Genomic DNA, 18,875 nt, shown 5'->3' with positions numbered 1-18,875 from the left:
GCTGCTTTATTTGAACTAAAATATCAGTTTCGATCATTCATTTCACTCTTAAACAATTTCCACTTTAAAATTTCAATGACCGATTATGTAATGGATTGTGCCTAAAATGTGCAATTACTAGATTTTGATTTTATACTACTGACATATATTCTATAGGTATATTTAATCTATAAATTAAGAACTAGAAGTGAAGAACTAATATTGACATTCTTTTTTTTTTTTTTTTTTTTTTTTGAGACAGGGTGTCACTCTGTCGCCCAGGCTAGAGTGCAGTGGCACAATCTCAGCCCACTGCAACCTTTGCCTCCAGGGTTCAAGCGATTCTCCTGCCTCAGCCTCTGAGTAGCTACAATTACAGGCACTTGCTATCATGCCCGGCTCATCTTTGTATTTTGATAGAGACGGGGTTTCCCTGTGTTGGCTAGGCTGGTCTTGAACTCCTGACCTCAAGTGATCCCACCTCAGCCTCCCAAAGTGTTGGGATTACAGGCGTGAGCCACCGTGTCTGGCCAAGAACTAATACTGACAGTCTAAGATCTATTTAGAAAATATGATATTGAAAGTTTTGTTTAGTATTTGCTGCCACCATGTGAATGTCACTGTGTACTACTCTGAAATTTTTTATTTGAAAGGAAAACAAGAATTCAAAATCTACAAATATAGCACTATTTTTTATAATCATCTTATAAAATTTTAAAGCAAAGATTATTAATGTCTCTCATATTAGTATCCGATATACCAAAATTTCACAATCCAGTTGTTACATGCTCAACATTTAATTCACCTTTATAATACTACTAGACTATATCATTTTCACAGAATATTAGAAAATCAAACCACCTTCAGGAAATATAAGTGCTTTTATAATAGTAACAGTCATTATAAAATAGAGTGAATATCAGGAAAAAAAACAAATACTAACTTAAAAACAAAACTGTTGATTTCTTAGAACGGTTAATAGCTTCAAAATGTGAATTATATTTTAATGTTTAAATATATATGGCTGATAATTGGTCCCTTTAGCTATTTTGCTAATTGGACATTGTGTCATACAAAGTATTAGAATATTTTCCAAATGATTCCAGCATTTAACTTTTGCTTAAGAGAATCTACAAGGGTTTGTAAGTACAGCATAATAACGACAGATGCTAGGAATTTACAGGACCAGTGATTGCACTCTGTTGAAGGAACCCAACTAATGAATTTGGCCAAGTGTCCTAATCATAATAAATCTGAGAACTATTTCTGTAGACATAGGCATAGACTTAGAAAGTTCATTCCAAACTCACACACATAAACAAATTTTATCACAAAACTTGCCCTGCTTGTAATGCAAATTGACCTGTTTCAGAAAATAATTAAAATACATTTTAATCTTTACTGCAACCCATGAAGTCAAATGATCTTCAGTCCTTAGAAGAACAAATTAAAACAAATGTAAAAATACATTTGCTCTTCTCATTACCCTAATTTGACAGGCAGGCAGAGCAGGCCTTCAGATTATTCATCAAAGTAATAAAAAGGGAAATGAGATGAAGCAGAGAGGAGAGAGAGAGAGGGAGAGAGATCTATCAAAATACAGTACTTAAAAATATTTTACATGCCCAAGTCTTAGAAGGAGTAATAAAAATGCTCATTGTGCATGGCAGGTGACTGTTCCTTACCCATCATAATTTATATCATTTATTCTAGTTTTTAATTAAATACCTTTTAAAATTTGTCTTTCGAGAATTATTTTGGCTACTCTGGAAATGAATATAACTTAGAAAGCCAAGGCAAGGGGAAAGACACCTACCTCAAGTCAAAGCATCAGACGCAGTCTTTGTGGTCAAACACTGCATAATATGATTCATCAATGGAACAGTAATGAATAAACCACTGCTGGATACTTCCCCAGTGAGTGAGATGACACAAAGGATCACATACTAATCAGAGGTATAAAACTCTTTTGCTGTGGTTTTATTCAGCTGTTCCATGCTACCATCATGCCTTCAGCAACTTAACACTTTTAAAAAATCAAACTCTTTCAAAACATTTTTATAGGTCATTATTTTCCAAACAGTATATAACGCACTATCATTTACTATAACAGGCTGTCTTTATTATACCTGTGTCATAAAGAAGCAAAAAAATTAAACTATTATAGATAGAAGAACAGTCCAGACTGACCTGGTACTAACTTCCCCACTAAAATCTGCCAATGTTTTTCAAATCTCCATTAAAATGTGCAATAATTAATGCATGCCCATCTCAAAAAGCAATTACAATTTTGTTGTATAACTTCCAGATTATGTGACTTGGAAGGAATTGGGCATTCAAAGTAATGGTTTCCTTGATTGATTCTAAACCTAGAACCTAGACTTAAGCCCAGTTATAGCACTACATATCACAAAACTAAAAAAGATGCCAAAACCCATTTAATTATCTAGTACAAACATGCTCATCCCTGAGGCTATGTGTGAAAATCTTCCTGGAAAAATTTAGTGCTCTAAACTTCTCATTCAGAAGTGCATCATTAAAAAAAAAAGATAGGACAAAATATCACTGGGTATTTATTTGCATATCACTAATAAGCAATAAATTAGAGAATATTAACTGACCTAGTAGGCTTTTTTTGACTGGTTGCAATTCCACTGTGATTAGACTGAGTTGCATATCTGGCTGCCAGACTGTATGAGGAGAAACAGAGAAATTGAATTAAAGAGATTCTTTGAACATGGAAGGAAAGCACAAACTTACAAGAAAACTATGAATTAATGAAATGCAATTGGAACACGTATAAACATGTATAAAGAACAAATTAATTAGAAAATTATGGTAATGTTGTATGTCCAACATGACCTTTGATTATGAATGTACTATGAAATAATGCAGTGCACACCTTGTCATAAAATGTGTTATCACTGACTTTACAATTATGGCCATGTAATATTATTAATATTTTAAAAATACTATTATTTCATCATATAAAAAAATTCAACCTTGTAAATGACTGTGAAACTTCAGGGAAACTAAAGTTTCACTGACATGATGAAAGATCACTTTCTTAAAAAGTTTAAAATGTAAAAGAAGAGTATGAGATGACAGTCATTAGTTCCTTTAGTAAACTCTTCTAATTTGCTTTTTTCAATCTAAATATTATTTCGAAAGCCAAATGATTAAATAATCTGGTTTCTGTCTAATAAGTTATTGCTGATCTCTAGTACTAAATTGTTTTCAAGGAAGTCAATAAAAGATGTTTTGTCTTGGGGAAGATCTATATAAAAACAGAAATTAAAGTGGGCTTAAGTTCTTCATAAACAACTTAACAAATACTAATGACAATTTCTGGGCATTCTTGAATTACATTTCTCAATGATTTTTTAAATCAAAATCTTTGTTCAAAGGCACACAAGAAAGCATGATTTAAGCCAAATTTTGAAGAGCAATATTTTATATATAAAATGCACATTTATACATTAAGTTCAACTGATCTCTGCGTTACCTAAGAGTTCTGGAATCAGTATTCTGAAAGATATAGTTAGACCTGATAAACCCAGGACATGTGCACACACCCTGTGATGGTCATGGGTTGATGCCTAAGTGGAGAATCGCTTCTCAGATGAATTGGAATGGCTCGACATGAATCCGGTTGCTGTGCATGCACAGTTTTCAAGGCCTCCAAGGAAACAAGAACAACATGGGGGTGTTGGAATCAGGGTGGGATCACTTGGAGTCCTGATGTAGTTGATCCAATTGCTTCTCTGCCAAGCAGAGGGTATTTTAGTCAAGGAAAGGATTACTTAGGATGATGATGTGTTTACTAAATTAACTTTTACTACACTGAGCTAGTTGGTGGTGGGAGCTTGCAGGTCCTTAAAATTGCCTGGCTTGAGGGAAATATACCCTCATATAGAGGGAGCTTTTCAGATTCACAGAGCACATTTGGCATGTGATAAATTGTTATTTGTGTATAATGCAATCTGTATTCTAACTACACTGAGCACCAAAACAACTGGCCACAACTAGCTAAACTACCTCAGTAATAATAATATCAGAAAGTAATTCAGAAATAAAAACCAAACTGTCTCAATTCAGTGAAATAGCATTTTGAAAATTAAAGAATAAAAACACTCAAAGTGAGGAAAAGCCTTTTGTGAAATTCTCAGTCTACTTGTCAATTCAAGAGTAAGAGAACTGTTTACCACTATGTCTACCCTACTTTCTCTAAATTGAACACAAATATTAGCAAAATAGATGACAATGAAACAATATATTTTCTTTTAGTGAGTTGAAGCCACCTTACTGGTCCCCCCACCTCATTATTTTAAAGACGTGCCATAATATAAATCTTAGCACAGAACTGGATAAACAACAAAGTCCATAAAGTTTGAATGATTTGGCCAAAATCAATTTCATTTTATGGTCCATGTGTGTTTTCTGAATTATTATATAAGGATACTGTACTTTGAACCTGAATTCTTACACCAAACCCTCTCACTGTAATCCCTTGAAAGGCAGCTTCTGTTCTGCTTTCTTGCACTGGTGAAGCTGCTATCTTGTTTTCTTCAATGCTCACTGTGTTCTAAAGTCTTTGTATTTGACCATGTTGGTCCCTGCCTCTTTTTGAGCCTCTCCTATTCATAGACCAGGCATTATGGCATTCCAGTAAGCTGACCCAATTAGTTCACCATCATTTTTGTCCCATTTTCTCTTTCCTTTTTGGGGTGCTTGTTTCCACATCTCTTAAAGGCATGGTATTTTTCCCTCAAGAGTATATCCTCTTTCCTCAAATATTTTATGCATTGTTTACTTAGTAATTCACTTGCTACTAAGATTTAAACTAATATTCTACTCCTTAAATTAACCTCTGTTCATATTCCCATCCATCGGCACCAACTGAATGAAAGACTTGTCCATTTACGTGAGCTTCAAACTCACCACATCAAACTCTCCATTCTCCTTCTTTTATTCTCCAGCTCTCAATAAACTCCTTACTTAAATTTCTTTATTTCTATCCAGAGGACCACAATTTTCCTAATAATATAGGCTGAAAATCTCAACAGCTGACTCTTTCCATTTCCCTTTCAATTATTACAGAGGAGAAATCAATACCTAGTCATACTAATTAAATATCTATAATTCCATTTGTACCTATGTTTTCCATCAATTCCGATGTTTATCATGCTAACTCAAGCCTTGAATACTTCCCACGATACCTCTGACCTAGAGAAATTCAAATGTTGTATTGCTTATCTAATTCATACTTCAGAATCGAATATTTGAATTGAAATGAATGTATCTAGGCTTGTGTCTTGATATTATTCTCAAATAGATAAGTGAAATTATAGGTGAAGGAAGCAAAGGTCAAAGACATACAATAAATTTTCTAAAACATGCAGCTGATTAGTGAAGACTCAAAGTAAATTTTGATATTCAAGATCCTTTATAAAATATTCGTTTTTTTTTTTGAGATGGAGTCTTGCTGTCACCCAGTGCAGTGGCGTAATCTCGGCTCACTGCAACCTCCACCTCCTGGGTTCAAGCAGTTCTCTTGCCTCAGCCTCCCAAGTAGCTGGGATTACAGGCACCCGCCACCACATCTGGCTACTTTTTGTATTTTTAGTAGAGGCAGTGTTTCGCCATGTTGGCCAAGATGGTCTCAAACTCCTGACCTCTTGATCCGCTCACCTCGGCCTCCCAAAGTGCTGGGATTACAAGTGTGAGACACTGCACCAAGCCTTATAAAATATTCTTATGTTTCTGTGTTTCTGTTCTACTATCTTTGTCACAGGATAAAAGACAAGAGGGGTTTTTATCTCACTTGTACTTTTCTATTTTTCTGTGCCTTTACTCATGCTATAACTCCTATGGGAATACCCCCTACCTGTGTCTATTATACCAAATTCTAACCATTTTTCAAGTATCACCTTAAATTACACCAAGTCTATGCAACATTTTATCACCTTCTAGACACATATTAAATCTCTAAGCTTTCATAACTATGCTTTGTACCCTTTTTATGTAATGAAAACATTTAATTTAACTTTAGTTATTTAAATGTATAAACATAATGAAATTTCTTCAAAGCAATCTCTTCATCAAATGTACCAATACTATCATAGATATTGGAAATTTGCCTACTCTTGTCTCTTAAAAAATAAAACTAGGCTGGGCGCAGTGGCTCACATCGGTAATCACAGCACTTTGGGAGTCTGAGGCAGGTAGATCACGTGGTCAGGATTTTGAGACCAGCCTGGCCAACATGGTGAAACCCCATCTCTACTAAAAATACAAAAATTAGCCAGACCTGGTGGTGCGTGCCTGTAATCCCAGCTACTTTGGAGGCTGAGGCAGGAGAATTGCTTGAACCCAGGAGGCGGAGGTTGCAGTGAGCCAAGATAGCACCATTGCACTCCAGCCTGGGCGACAGAGTGAGACTCTCTCAGAAAAAATAAAAAAATAAATAAACAATAAAACTAATACATTTTGAAAATGTAATATGTCATGTGTCACCAAACCAGCACCATAAGTGTTGTAACAGCAAGTGTATTATTAACACAATTAATAGAGACAATTTTTCAAAGATCTATATTACAGAAATACAATAATAAAAACAGACAGTGGAGCACTCAATAGGACAAATGACCCAATTTCTTTAACAAATAAATTGCAAGAAAAATTATGAAGGGAAAACCTATAGAGTCTTATAAGAACTTAAAACCAATTGTAATGTACAGAAGCTTATTTGAATTCTGACTCAAATAAACAACTGTTAAACTTTATGAGAAAATGAGAAAATTTTAACACAAGGATGTTAAATGAAACTAAGCAATTAATATTAATTTTTAAAGTGTGATAATTATTTTGAATTGTTGAAACTGGCCTAAATGTCCCATAAAACTGATGTTATAGTTTCTTTTGAATAAACATAGAAATTGATCCTCACAGTTTTAAAATCTGAGAAACTTACATTTGTTTTATCTGAGTTCCTTTTCTCAGGAAACTGACCATCAGGCCTCTTAGATAGTATCAATGAACTGAAACTTACCAGATTGCCACAACTAGACAATGAGATGCCAGGTCCTTCATTTGTCAGGATTACTTTCTTACTCATTGCTAATTCCTGTTTTCCTAACAGATGACCTATTTCCTGTTGACCAACTTTTCTTCCTTACCTTTCCCTAATTCCTGCTTTTCTGCATGTAGCCACATGCCTTCCCCACTATATAAACCCCCAGTTTTAGTTAATTGGGGAGGTGAATTTGAGACTGATCTCCCATTCTTGTCAGCTGCAGCAACTGAGTAAAGCCTTCTCCCTAGGCAATTCTTGTTATTTTAGTGATTGGCTTTCTGTGCAACAGAGAGCAGGACCTAGACTAAACCCCTGGTGTTTGAATAACATTGGAAGCATATTAAAAATAAACTCTATCTTTCACAGATATATACTTAATTTGTTTTAAATAAATTGAGGTGAATAGCTGATTTGAAATAATCAATAGTGGAATTAGGAGCTTGGAATGGTTGGATACTCATTTTAAAAAAGGTAAATTGTGAGGTGATAATGCTTAAGTCAGATTGATGGGTCCATGAGAAATTTAAATGGAATTTAGTATGTTTTAAAAAAGCAGAATAAGAACTATTCTTATTTATATTACCCTTTAGAAAGTAATTTATCTGCCAAGTATAACTGCCACAAATGCTTAGTATGTCAAAAAGAATATTCTTTATGTTTGATTTATTTATAAGGCAACTTCACCATTCCATGGATCTATTTTCCAGTATAGAGAATAAATGTTATTTCACCAATTAACCCACTGGTCTTATCAATTTCATGATTTTTGTCCTTTATTTTTCATGATCTCAACTACTAACAGAATACATTGTACCAGCTGCATTTCTAAGAGGCACCTAGTCAAAAGTCACTGGCCTGTTGCTACATAAGTGTCTACCACTCTCAGATGTTTATAGATCAAGAACTTGGACTCCTTGGAAGACCAATTTATTTTTGTTTGTTTGTTTGGTTGGTTGGTTGGTTGGTTTTAGCTAGCTCTTTAGCTTCCATAGGAAGCCCAATGGGCAAACAGTTTGGTTTGGCCTAATACCTAATGTTTATGAAATACCATGCAAAGGTAAAGGCACTGTACACACGTATGTATGTGTAAGTTAGTGAGACATTTGTTAATTGCTGGTTCTAATTATAGTATTACTGCCATCCCGTTTTTATGTCCTTCTACTACTCTTAAACGTCTGTTGCCTCTCCTTGTTTTTGTCTTTTCACCTGAAAAGAGGTCTAAAAGAGAGCAAGAAAGGCTTAGTTGAACGTTTGCAATGTTATCTAAAAAATAAGCTATTACTGTAATCTTAAAAATCACTAGTAATAGAGGGAGGACAGAAATATCAAATCTTGTGGTTCAATATGCCTCTACTTTTCTCTCATTATTTTTCTTTCAAATTTTCACATGATCAATCTCTCCCCATTTCTCTCATTACTTGTTTGATGTAACTCAAAATCTTTCTCAATAGCTCCTTTATTTTTCTTAACATTATTGTCTATGCCTCACTGGACAGCAGAAAAGCATTTTATCCTCCACAGTGCTTGTAATACCATTTCCCAGGTTTCAAGTTTATAACATATTAGTAACAAACCAGGTGAGTAAGCACAGCCAACTTGCCGAGTCCTAGTAAAACAGACACAGGTGACATGTAGACACAGCTCTCAGGCAATGGGGGAAAATAAACTGAGTCAGAAAAGCAGTAAAATAAGGGTTTTTAGATGTCTGAATTGAAGAGTGCATTTTTTTCTGAAATCCTGTATGATCAGGCTCCTACTGTTTATGGTGGGCAAAAGATGTCAGAAACAGAAGCACAAAAGAAGTAAACATTTTGAGGCTCATTGTGGATCCTACTAAAAGAAGTATGTGATCATCTTTCTAGTAAACTGGAATATCAAGGGGCTGCTTTTTATTTTTCTCAAGCATGGAAGGGAAGAAGAGAAAACTATACACAGTCAACTATTTTTAAAGTATGGAATTCATCTGGTGATCAAAACACAGCAGGATCCAAACTGCCAGAGCTTCCTATTTCAGCTTCAGTGTAAATCCTCATGTGGAGTTATAAAATCCATTTATTGTAAGGAAAGAAAGCTTTTTAAGGTAAACAGGGCCGAATCTGTGGTTACACATTTTTACTAATCACTACAGCCTCACTACTCAAAATGTGGTCTGTAGACCAACAACACTGACATCACCTGGGGCTTGTTAGAAATATAGAACCTCAGATCCCATCTCAGACTTACTGAATTTGAATCTTCATTTAAACAGAATCCGCAGGTGATTCCTATGCATAATAACATTGGAGATACTGTGTGCTACAGAATATCCACAGATGTCTCCTTGGAAGGAGAATACTCACAGTTTCTAAAGTCAAACAGCATATTCCAAAATCTCAAGCCATGCCTCTTTAGATGTCAGCAGCCTCCTTCTTACAGACTTCATCATTTTAGCGTTCCTGACACAACAGCCACATCTGCAGCTATTACTACTGCTTCCCAAATACAGGTTCACTCACTGTCACCACCCACAAAATTTTACGCTGTTACCATAAATATTCTAAAAATTATAATCCCAGATATAATCGACTCCTTCCTTCTTGTATAGCAAATGTATATTTCAAACCCCAATCTCAATCCTAAACTTCAGAATCCCCTCTCTGAATATCTCGATATGTCTTGAATACTGTATCTTGATGGTGCAGTAATTAATCAGGTTAAGTATCTGTCTCCTAAACAGACTGCGTTGTTCTCCAGGGCAGGAATTATGTTATGTTAATTTTTTTTTTCATTCTTAGTTCCTATAATGGGGCTGGTATGTGTTCAGTAACTAAACAATTGATTGACATTTACTGGGTGGCATTTTCAAATGATGGCATGTTATATCTCTACCTTCTAAACAAGGGAAATTGTTCCAAGAATAGAATTATCAGAAGTATGTTAAAGGAGGGAACAGAAAGACACTAGTCATTATTACATCCTTAATAACTGGCAGCAATTTATCTTACTCAATCCTCACAACAGTCCTGCAAAGGTTATACTATACAACCAACTGACAAATATGAAAATTAAGTCTTTTAATGTTAACTCATGTGCATTTTATACATTTTGTAAATTAAAGTGCTGAAATTTGAACTTAAATTTGTTAACATTCCATAAGCTGTACTCCGTTCTCTTGTACCATATTGTCTGTATCAAATATCAATTGAAGTATTTTTATTGCTCCATAGATTTGTGAAGATTTCCAAGATATTATAGAATCTGTATACAGAATATGATCTCTTCAAGTATCAAACAAATCTAATTTCAAAATATACCATTTGACAGAGAAATAATATTTAAAAACTTCAATCTACTTTACATAGAAATCAAGAGTAAACAAAACAATTTTAAAGGTTAAAATAATTATAGTATTTAAGCAACTATTCTCATAGTCTTACAAGCAAATATTATCATTTAAAATTTTTAGCAATGTTTTATTCAGGGCTAATAAATGTGGAACATAATTTATAATTAGCCACTCCCACATCCATTACAGACATCACTAATCAATCATGGAACATTTTTTTTCTACTAATTCCTATGGTAGCCTCATAATCCTTGCAAAGGATTCAAACAGCCCTTATTGTTCAACAGGAATTAGAATGAGAGTTAAAATGTATTTGTATCTCCTCTCTATGCCTTCATCAATACACAGCTAAGAAAATTTTAATAATTTCATGTAAGATGTTTGTAGACTATTCTATTTATGTTATAGTTATTTTAACAGCAGACTTCCATGCAAAATGTGGTCATATATATGTATATATGACCTCATTCCTTAGTTTTAGTTTTCAACCTCAAGAATCAAATTTGCTTCAACATAATACACATACAGAATTCTATAAATCACCAAAACCTAATACCTCAACCTCATATAATGTATCGACTTTAGCTCTTTGGATTCTATCAAGCTTCTTACAAAAAATCTCAGCTGAGGAAGTTGGTATTTGAATTGTTTCAACTTATGCTTATTTATTGTGGTAATTATAAATATTTTTAATTTTCTTATTCATTCTACAAATATTATTATTATTATTTGAGATGGAGTTTTGCTCTGTCGCCCAGGCAGGAGTGCAGTGGCACGATCTCGGCTCACTGCAACCTCCACCTCTCAGGTTCAAGCGATTCTCCTGCCTCAGCCTCCCAAGTAGCTTAGATTACGGGTGCGTGCCACCACACCTGGCTGACTTTTGTATTTTTAGTAGAGATGGGGTTTTACCATGTTGGCTAGACTAGTCTCAAACTCCTGACCTCAAGTGATCCACCCGCCTTGGCCTCCCAAAGTGCTGGGATTACAGGCATGAGCCACCGCGCCCAGCCCTAAAAATAATATTTTAACATCTAGTTTTTTTCCAAGTGAGAATCTAGAAAGCCACAACAATTTGCTAAGGAATTTGGTATTTATTCTGATTGCATGGGAGACTACCAAAAAAATTTAATTTCGGAAGAAATACTAATTTCTCAGATTAGATAGATCTTTCCTTAGATATGTAAGAGTGAGGAAGAAATGAGGTTGGGAGATGTTAACAAGGCTGAAAACAGATCAAATAGGAAATCATGGCTAAAATTCAGGCAGGATTTTATATAGGCCTGAATGAAGACAGAGGCACAGGAAATAGAAGTAAATGATTAAAATAAGTTAAAATAGTGGACACAGGAATTGAAAGAAAGGGAAGAATCTAAGACAAATCCTGGGCCTCTAATTTGAGTTGTTCTACGTACAATAAAGTTACATAGAAAGGAGTGTGGGAAAATGAGGTTGAACATCGCTCGTGTAGTGTATGAAAAGAAAATTCCAATTCAATTATGTCTACATACAAAAAAAAAAAGTAGAGAAAGAAATAGAAACCCTGGGAAAATGGATATTCAGAAGTGACTAATCCCACCTTTAGAGTATTGACAGTGAAGAGCCATCACTGATGTTATTCTAAAGATTAACTTATAAAGTATATAAATACTTTTGGATACTGAATTAATGAATAAATAAGAAAGCAGCTTCACATTCCTAAGGTTTTCAAAGTGGCACATAGACATAGATATTGAGAAACTAAACTTAGTTCAGTGTTCTCGTTATTCTGACAAACATGAAGATTGATTTATGCAATTGTCCAATTAATTAATCATTGAAAAGACTTTTATTGACCACCTCCGATGTACTGGCACTGTGTCAGAAAGATTTAATTTGGAAAAATTTGGTTAAAGCCCACAGAGGTTACTGTTTCATTCGGAGAATTATAACCCCTAAAACCATGTATACTAACTAATATTCTTCATAAAAAGTATAGGCTGGGCGCGGTGGCTCACGCCTGTAATCCCAGCACTTTGGGAGGCCTAGGTGGCTGGATCACGAGGTCAGGAGATTAAGACCATCCTGGCTAACACGTTGAAACCCTGTCTGTACTAAAAATACAAAAAATTAGCTGAACGTGGTGGCATGTGCCAGTAATCCCAGCTACTTGGGAGGCTGAGGCAGGAGAATCGCTTGAACCCAGGAGGTGGGAGTTGCAGTGAGCTGAGATCACACCTCTGCACTCCAGCATGGGTGACAGAGCGAGACTCCGTCTCGAAAAAAAAAACAAAAAACCTATAATTTTATATTTAATGGAAATCAAATTCAAGTTTGGAAAGAGAAACAAAAGCATTTTGCAGATGTGAAGAAATGATAGATGACATTATTTATCTTCTGTGAATTAATATGTTGAAATGCCAGTAGTAAACATCGAATACATTGGTTAATAGCAAGGAATCTACAGCCAGCTGCCCTACCCACATCTCAGCTCAACTGCTTTCTGTGCCTAGTTTCTCATCTGTTAAATGAGGATGACATCTACCTAAAGGCTTTTATGAGGACCAAATTGCAGATCACTTAGAAGGGTGTCTGGTAAAGATAAGTGCTATAACAGGTAAAAAAAAAAAAAAATGCATACTTGACAGTCTCTGGAGGCACTGTAAATATTCTAATGAATCCTGTGTGAATTTTAGCCGCTATTACCCTGCACACCTGCACTTGGAAGTCTTCCTAATACCACATCCCTTGGTTCTCACTTACCACTTTTGATGTTACGTTATTCTTACTTGAAAGCACATAAGCATGGCTCTTTCAGGACAATGGCTGAGCTTTTAACTGTGGCTCTTGGTCTCTCAGTTTAAAATTACTTTGGGACTGTGATTCCTTGAAATCAAATACAATTAGGTCTTATTCTCCTTCAAAATTTTATGGATATTATTCATTATTCTTGTTTCCCAAAGTCAACAACATAAGTCCCACAGGACTTAGCCCAGTAAGAAATCATTAGAAACTGTCCCAATAAGACACCAAAGAACCAGCATTCCCAAAACAACACACACAGGGTGAGCCTTTCAAAACATAAATCTCAACACTGCACAGAATCCAAAAGTGTCTTAAGTTCAGGACTTAGTGTTTTGTTTTGTGTTGCAGTGATTAGATGAATATATGTTCAATATAGTTAATTTAATATTTCAACCAGAGTTTTGTATTTCATTTGTATCTAGATTCCAGGAATAATTTGAAAGACAAGAACAAAATGTCTCAGAAGACGAAGTACTTCTCAATAGAAAAACAATTTACACTTAAGAACTTAGCAAAAAGTTACCATAACTCAGTACATTGCAAAACAAAAAGAACATTCTCTCATTCTCCTTGTTTCCTCACTTCACCTGTAATTGTTTGTGGTCCCCAGAGTTTTGTGTTGAGCTCTCCTTTCTTTCCCCTACTTTTATACTTTTTTCCTGAGCTATTTCTTCCATTTCTATTGTTTCAATCAATAAAACATAGCTAAGCTAATGTTCCCAGGTCCATATCTCTGGCTCTGGCTTCTCTCCTAGGCTCCGGAGCCACATACTAGTCACCAAAGTTCCATTAAAATCTTAAACCTACGAAGGCCAAAGCTAAACTTTTTTTCTCTCTGCCTCCTTCCTCCCATCTGTTTCCACTATCATATTATATTTTCTGTCTTACTGAAATACATGATATTTCAATTCATCAATGAAAGTAGAGACGTGATGATTGTCTTTTACCCTTACTTCCAATCAGTCACCAAATTCATTGTTCCAGTCCAACTTTCAGATCTGCAAGCATTAAACTGTTCATTCTCTTGCCACCAGAGCAGGGTCCATCCCTATTCCCCTGCCCAAAGCACATCTTTCTCTACCCTGTCACCAGGGCAATATTTCTAAGTTATAAATAGTCTCATTTTTCCTCTGGTAAAAATTTCTCAAAGCAATTTTACTTTACATTTAGCAAATAAGTCCCAGCTCCTAGGCATAGAGTTCACAACTTCCACAAACTGACCTCTGCCTATTTCTCCAGTCTTCTCTCTCATTATATGCTATGACAATTTTAACACAGGGATACGATAAATTCATTGATCATCCTTCCATTGAGAAGTGAGATCTTTGTGCTATCCACCCATCTCTTAGAGTCTGAGTGGGCTTGAAGCTGCTTTAACCACTAGAGCTACCATGTGAGAAGTATGATACCACTAAGGCTGCCATGCTGGAGTGGCCGTGTGAATTTCAGTTAAGCTGCTAGACCTGTGAGTGAAGAAGTCATCTTGGAAGTGGATTCTTTAACCACAGATATTCTGTCTCTCACCAGTTTGTGACATCCCCGCCATTCCATCCTTCTCCATTGCCTGCCCTGGACATAGTGGAACAAGGACAAGCCATTCTCTTTATGCCTCGTCTGATTCTTTGGCTTACAAAATCCATGAGCATCGTAAAATGGTTACTGTTTTGTGCCATTAGATTGTGGGATGCTTTTGTAAAGCAGCAATAGATACCCAGAACCCATTTCTACTTTAACTTTCTCCTCAGCCAAATAACTCATTTCCTGAATGTGAAATGGCATTTCCTTCGTCAGTCCCTTCATATGTGCCCTTCCCTCTAACTTTGATCACTGAGCAACTTGTGCTTTGTTGAATTAATTAACATGTCTATTAAGCCATCTGCTTAAATATTTAGGTACTCTATAAGATTGTGGGTGATTTGAAGAGGAACATCACTTTATCTTAGCCACATATCTGATGTATCTCTTGGCTCATGGTGAGGGCCAATTTATTTGTGGAAAGGTCACATATGAACTTTCAAATCACCAGTGGAAAAGAACACACGGCTCTAATGTAACATATAAAGGATCAATAGCAACAAATCATCTTTCATTAAGCCATATGTTATGCATTGACTCTGCCCAAGTAGACAGTGGCTGGTTCATCAAAACATAAAAATCAAGTAGAAAACAGTAATTTTTAAATAGATGTATTTGATATAAAAGTAGTTGAATAAACTATATTTATCAAAGCAAAACAGAATGTAAAGACAATCTTTGACATTACATCAGTTTTTATAACTCTTCATCTATATTAAGAAATTTTATAGAAAATCATTTTAGAATCATCCTTGTTTCTGGCCCTATCTATTTACCCTCAGTCTTGGAGTCACATAAACATATCACAAGAGAAGAAATCCCTATTCAGAATCCGTATATAGTGAGACATGTAGTACTCTTGATTCCCAAAGAAAGAAAAAAGCATGCCTAATTATGATATCACATTTGTTTCTTCTAAAAGCACCATTCACAAGGAAACAAAGAGGAATATAAAGAAACAAAACTCAGAGTATAAAATAAGGCATTTCTTGGGTTTGAGTTTTAGTAGGCAATTTTTACCTCCCAATTTTTTCTTCTATAATACAGTATTATGTTAAAAAGACAGAAATTATTTCCTTTCAAATTCACTGAAAATGGCTTGAGAAAAAAAATCGGGAATAAAGTACCCAAGATATACTATAATTAAATATATTTTTTAAAGTTTAATGCTAAGGAATTTTAGACAAAAGAACAAACTTTAAAGACAGTTAAATACATTCACTAAGGGTTTTTAAGACTGAGATAGATGGAAATAAATTTCTTTATGTGTCCTATGATTGCTTGGGATAGAAATGAAACCATATATTCAGAATTAAGATTTAAAGAGCTCCTTAAACCAAATTCTTTCTTTAGTATAAAGACTTCTGCAGGATCCTTGTGAACTGCTATAAAATGATAACTAACATGCTATTAGCACTAAGAAAGAGAGAGATATTTAGCCACTTCTGCAAATATATCTTTAGTACCTCAAAACTATATGTGGTCCTTAAAAAATATTAAAGGCATTTTGCAAAAAGTGTCCTCACTGCAGAGTATATCATAAAATACGTTCTCCTTTTGCTAAGAGTTCACTGAAAACAGTTATTGCCTAATCCATAAATAAGTCAGAAACAGCTTTTATCCACATGTGTTTCTTTTTAGTAACCGGGTGGCTGAAATATCATCTGAATTGCATTTGGGACAGGTTACTGTGATAACTTATCCTTTTAGTGAAATACGGTATGAAAATATGTTATAACCTCTGTCTTATCTTAAATTTCCACAGGCAGTTAATAAGGCCACCTGCATGGTCTGCTTTTGTGGGATCTCAAAACAGTAACTAAAGAGGGAGAGGCCTGTGTAAGATATTACAGCATCAAAGTCTCTTGCTCTTTTAGGAATGTCAAACTTCAAGATAAAGGAGAATTCAGGAAATGAGGCTCATATTTCTTTTACAATATCACCATAAATTAGATTTTCCACAATGCTGTTACTTACACATAGCTCAAAGTACTACGCTACAATGCTGTTCTGTGGATGTTTCCCATTTTCAATTTTTAGTTTGGAGTAAAATTACATCTCAATACATTCAGAGCTTCATTCCAAAAGTTCATTTGAATGCAACCACCTTAAAAAAATTGGAACTTGAATACTGGTAGAAAAAGTTATTTTGTCAAACTAAAAATTTAAACCAACTTAGGCAAAGACCACACAGATCAGTGAAAAATCAGATTATTTAATACTTCTAAATACTTAAAAAGCATTGTAGTCATCATAAAATATGTTAAATTATTTCTTAATACATATATTCAGGAAAATAACTTTTATTACATTTAAAAGATGAATATCTATAAAGTATGTGAAGATTTGTGAGAAAATCTAGTCTATCAAGTCCTTATAATTGGGCTGCTCTCCATTTAATGCAAAGAAAATATAATCATCAATACAATCATAATCAAACCAGCCCAATTGTCCCATAGAACTGACGTTTATGGTTTCTTTTGAATAAACATAGAAATTGACCCCTCCAGTCTTAAAACTTGAGAAACTTACGGTTGTCTTATCTGGGTTTTTTTCTTGGGAAACCAACCATCAGGCAACCCAAATAGTGTCAAGGAACTGAAACTTATCAGATAATTATATCTGGACAATAAGACGCCAAGCCCCTCATCTGTCATGATTGCTTAACTGACCACCTGCTTCCTGTTGACCAATTCCTCTTCCTTATCCCTCCCTCATTCCTGTTTTCCCACACATAGTTACATTTCTTCCTTGCCATATAAACCCCTAATTTTAGTTGGATTTGAGACTGGTATCCCTTCTCCTCAGCTGCAGCACCCAGTTAAAGCCTTTTTCTCTGGCAATACTCGTTCTCTCAGTAAGTGGCTTTCTGTGTAGCACACAGCAGGACCTAGACCAAATCTCTGGCATTTCAGTAACAATATTAGTAAGCAGTGACTGGGGTCACAAAACATCTCTGATGGGTGAGCGTTGTTCTAGAGCCTGCCACACAGCAGAAAGAGAAGGCTTTTTTTTTTTTTTCTTTTTTTTTTTTCGTTTCACATCTTATGAGACTGAGAGATCAGTCAGAAAGAGGGAGGCACTTGGGGTGGTCAGAAGTAGAAGCATAGAAAAGGGCACATAAAGAGGTGTATGTTGAAAGTGTGCCCTTGACTAATGGTTAAAGTCTCATAAGCAAGATAAGTTACTGAAACATGCAAATCCCCTAAATCTAATTCCATGCTCACCAAGTTATCTCCTGATTTTCCATGTAGACTTGGCTACAGAAAAATAATCTAATGATCATTCTGACATAATCATTATAGCTTTTTTATTTTTAGTGTATTTTTTTCTATATATATATTTCAGAGGAGGAATCTCTGTGACCAGGCTGGAATGTAGTGGTGCAATTATGGCTCACTGCAGCCTTGACGTCTTAGTTTCAAGCCATCCTCCCACCTCAACCTCCCAAGTAACCAGGACAGCAGGCACACACCACCACTTCTGGCTAACTTTTTTTTTTTTTTTTTGTATTGTATTTTTTGTAGAGAGTAGGTCTCACAGTGTTGACCAGGCTGGTCTGGAACTCCTGACCTCAGGTGATCTCCTGCCTTGGCCTCTCAAAGTTCTGGGATTACAGGCATGAGCTATCATGCCCAGACAATTATGATTTTTGAGACAGTTGCAGTTTTTATTATGTCAGTAATTTTTCAAATTTGAAATTTGAAAAATTATAAGTAATTTGAAAAATTACTGACTTATAATGGAAAAAAGGTCCATAATTATTAATATGTTTTCTAGTGAAAACTAACCTCAACATTTTGAGGCTGAAGCTCTGAATGTATTGAGATGTAATTTTACTCCATATTGAAAATTGTAATGAATACAGTCAATCGTTATTTTGTTTTATATCTTATTAGACTGAGAGATCAATCAGAAAGACAGGGGCATTTGGGATGGTCAGAAGTAGAAGCATAGAAAAGGGATTATGAAAAGTTAATAGTTACTGACTTTATTAATTATAATTTTAAAAATTTATTCAAAATTATAAATATTGACTTTATTAATCTGCTTTTTTATAAAGACTAACCTCAAAAAATTGAGATGAGGTTAGTTTTTAGTAGAAAACAGATGAATAAATTCAATAGCTATTGACTT

At 34.9% G+C, this 18,875-nt stretch overlaps 1 protein-coding gene across 27 annotated transcripts in view, besides 1 other annotated feature; it reads right to left on the bottom strand.

Annotated features, from left to right (window-relative positions):
- NAV3 (neuron navigator 3) overlaps nucleotides 1-18,875 on the bottom strand; it is a 641,149-nt gene that overhangs the window by 215,539 nt on the left and 406,735 nt on the right. For 15 of the 27 annotated variants that reach the window (XM_017020166.3, XM_047429817.1, XM_047429823.1 and 12 more), the window contains exon 6: nucleotides 2,601-2,669. The exons of the other annotated variants lie outside the window; for them this stretch is intronic. In XM_017020166.3, coding sequence (XP_016875655.1) covers nucleotides 2,601-2,669 — 69 coding nt within the window. The remainder of the gene's footprint in view (nucleotides 1-2,600; nucleotides 2,670-18,875) is intronic. 27 annotated transcript variants of the gene reach the window in all.
- Nucleotides 14,734-15,295: an enhancer, noted in NCBI's record as "NANOG hESC enhancer chr12:78375957-78376518 (GRCh37/hg19 assembly coordinates)". NCBI's record gives its function as "activates a minimal SCP1, AML or CMV promoter by ChIP-STARR-seq in naive H9 embryonic stem cells {active_cell/tissue: H9 hESC(naive)}" and the evidence as "EXISTENCE:reporter gene assay evidence [ECO:0000049][PMID:30033119]".

Source organism: Homo sapiens, chromosome 12 (genome assembly GCF_000001405.40).
Source record: "Homo sapiens chromosome 12, GRCh38.p14 Primary Assembly".
NCBI lineage: Eukaryota > Metazoa > Chordata > Mammalia > Primates > Hominidae > Homo > Homo sapiens.
The sequence above is the reverse complement of the archived record's forward strand: the minus strand, read 5'-3'. Positions and strand labels throughout refer to the sequence as shown.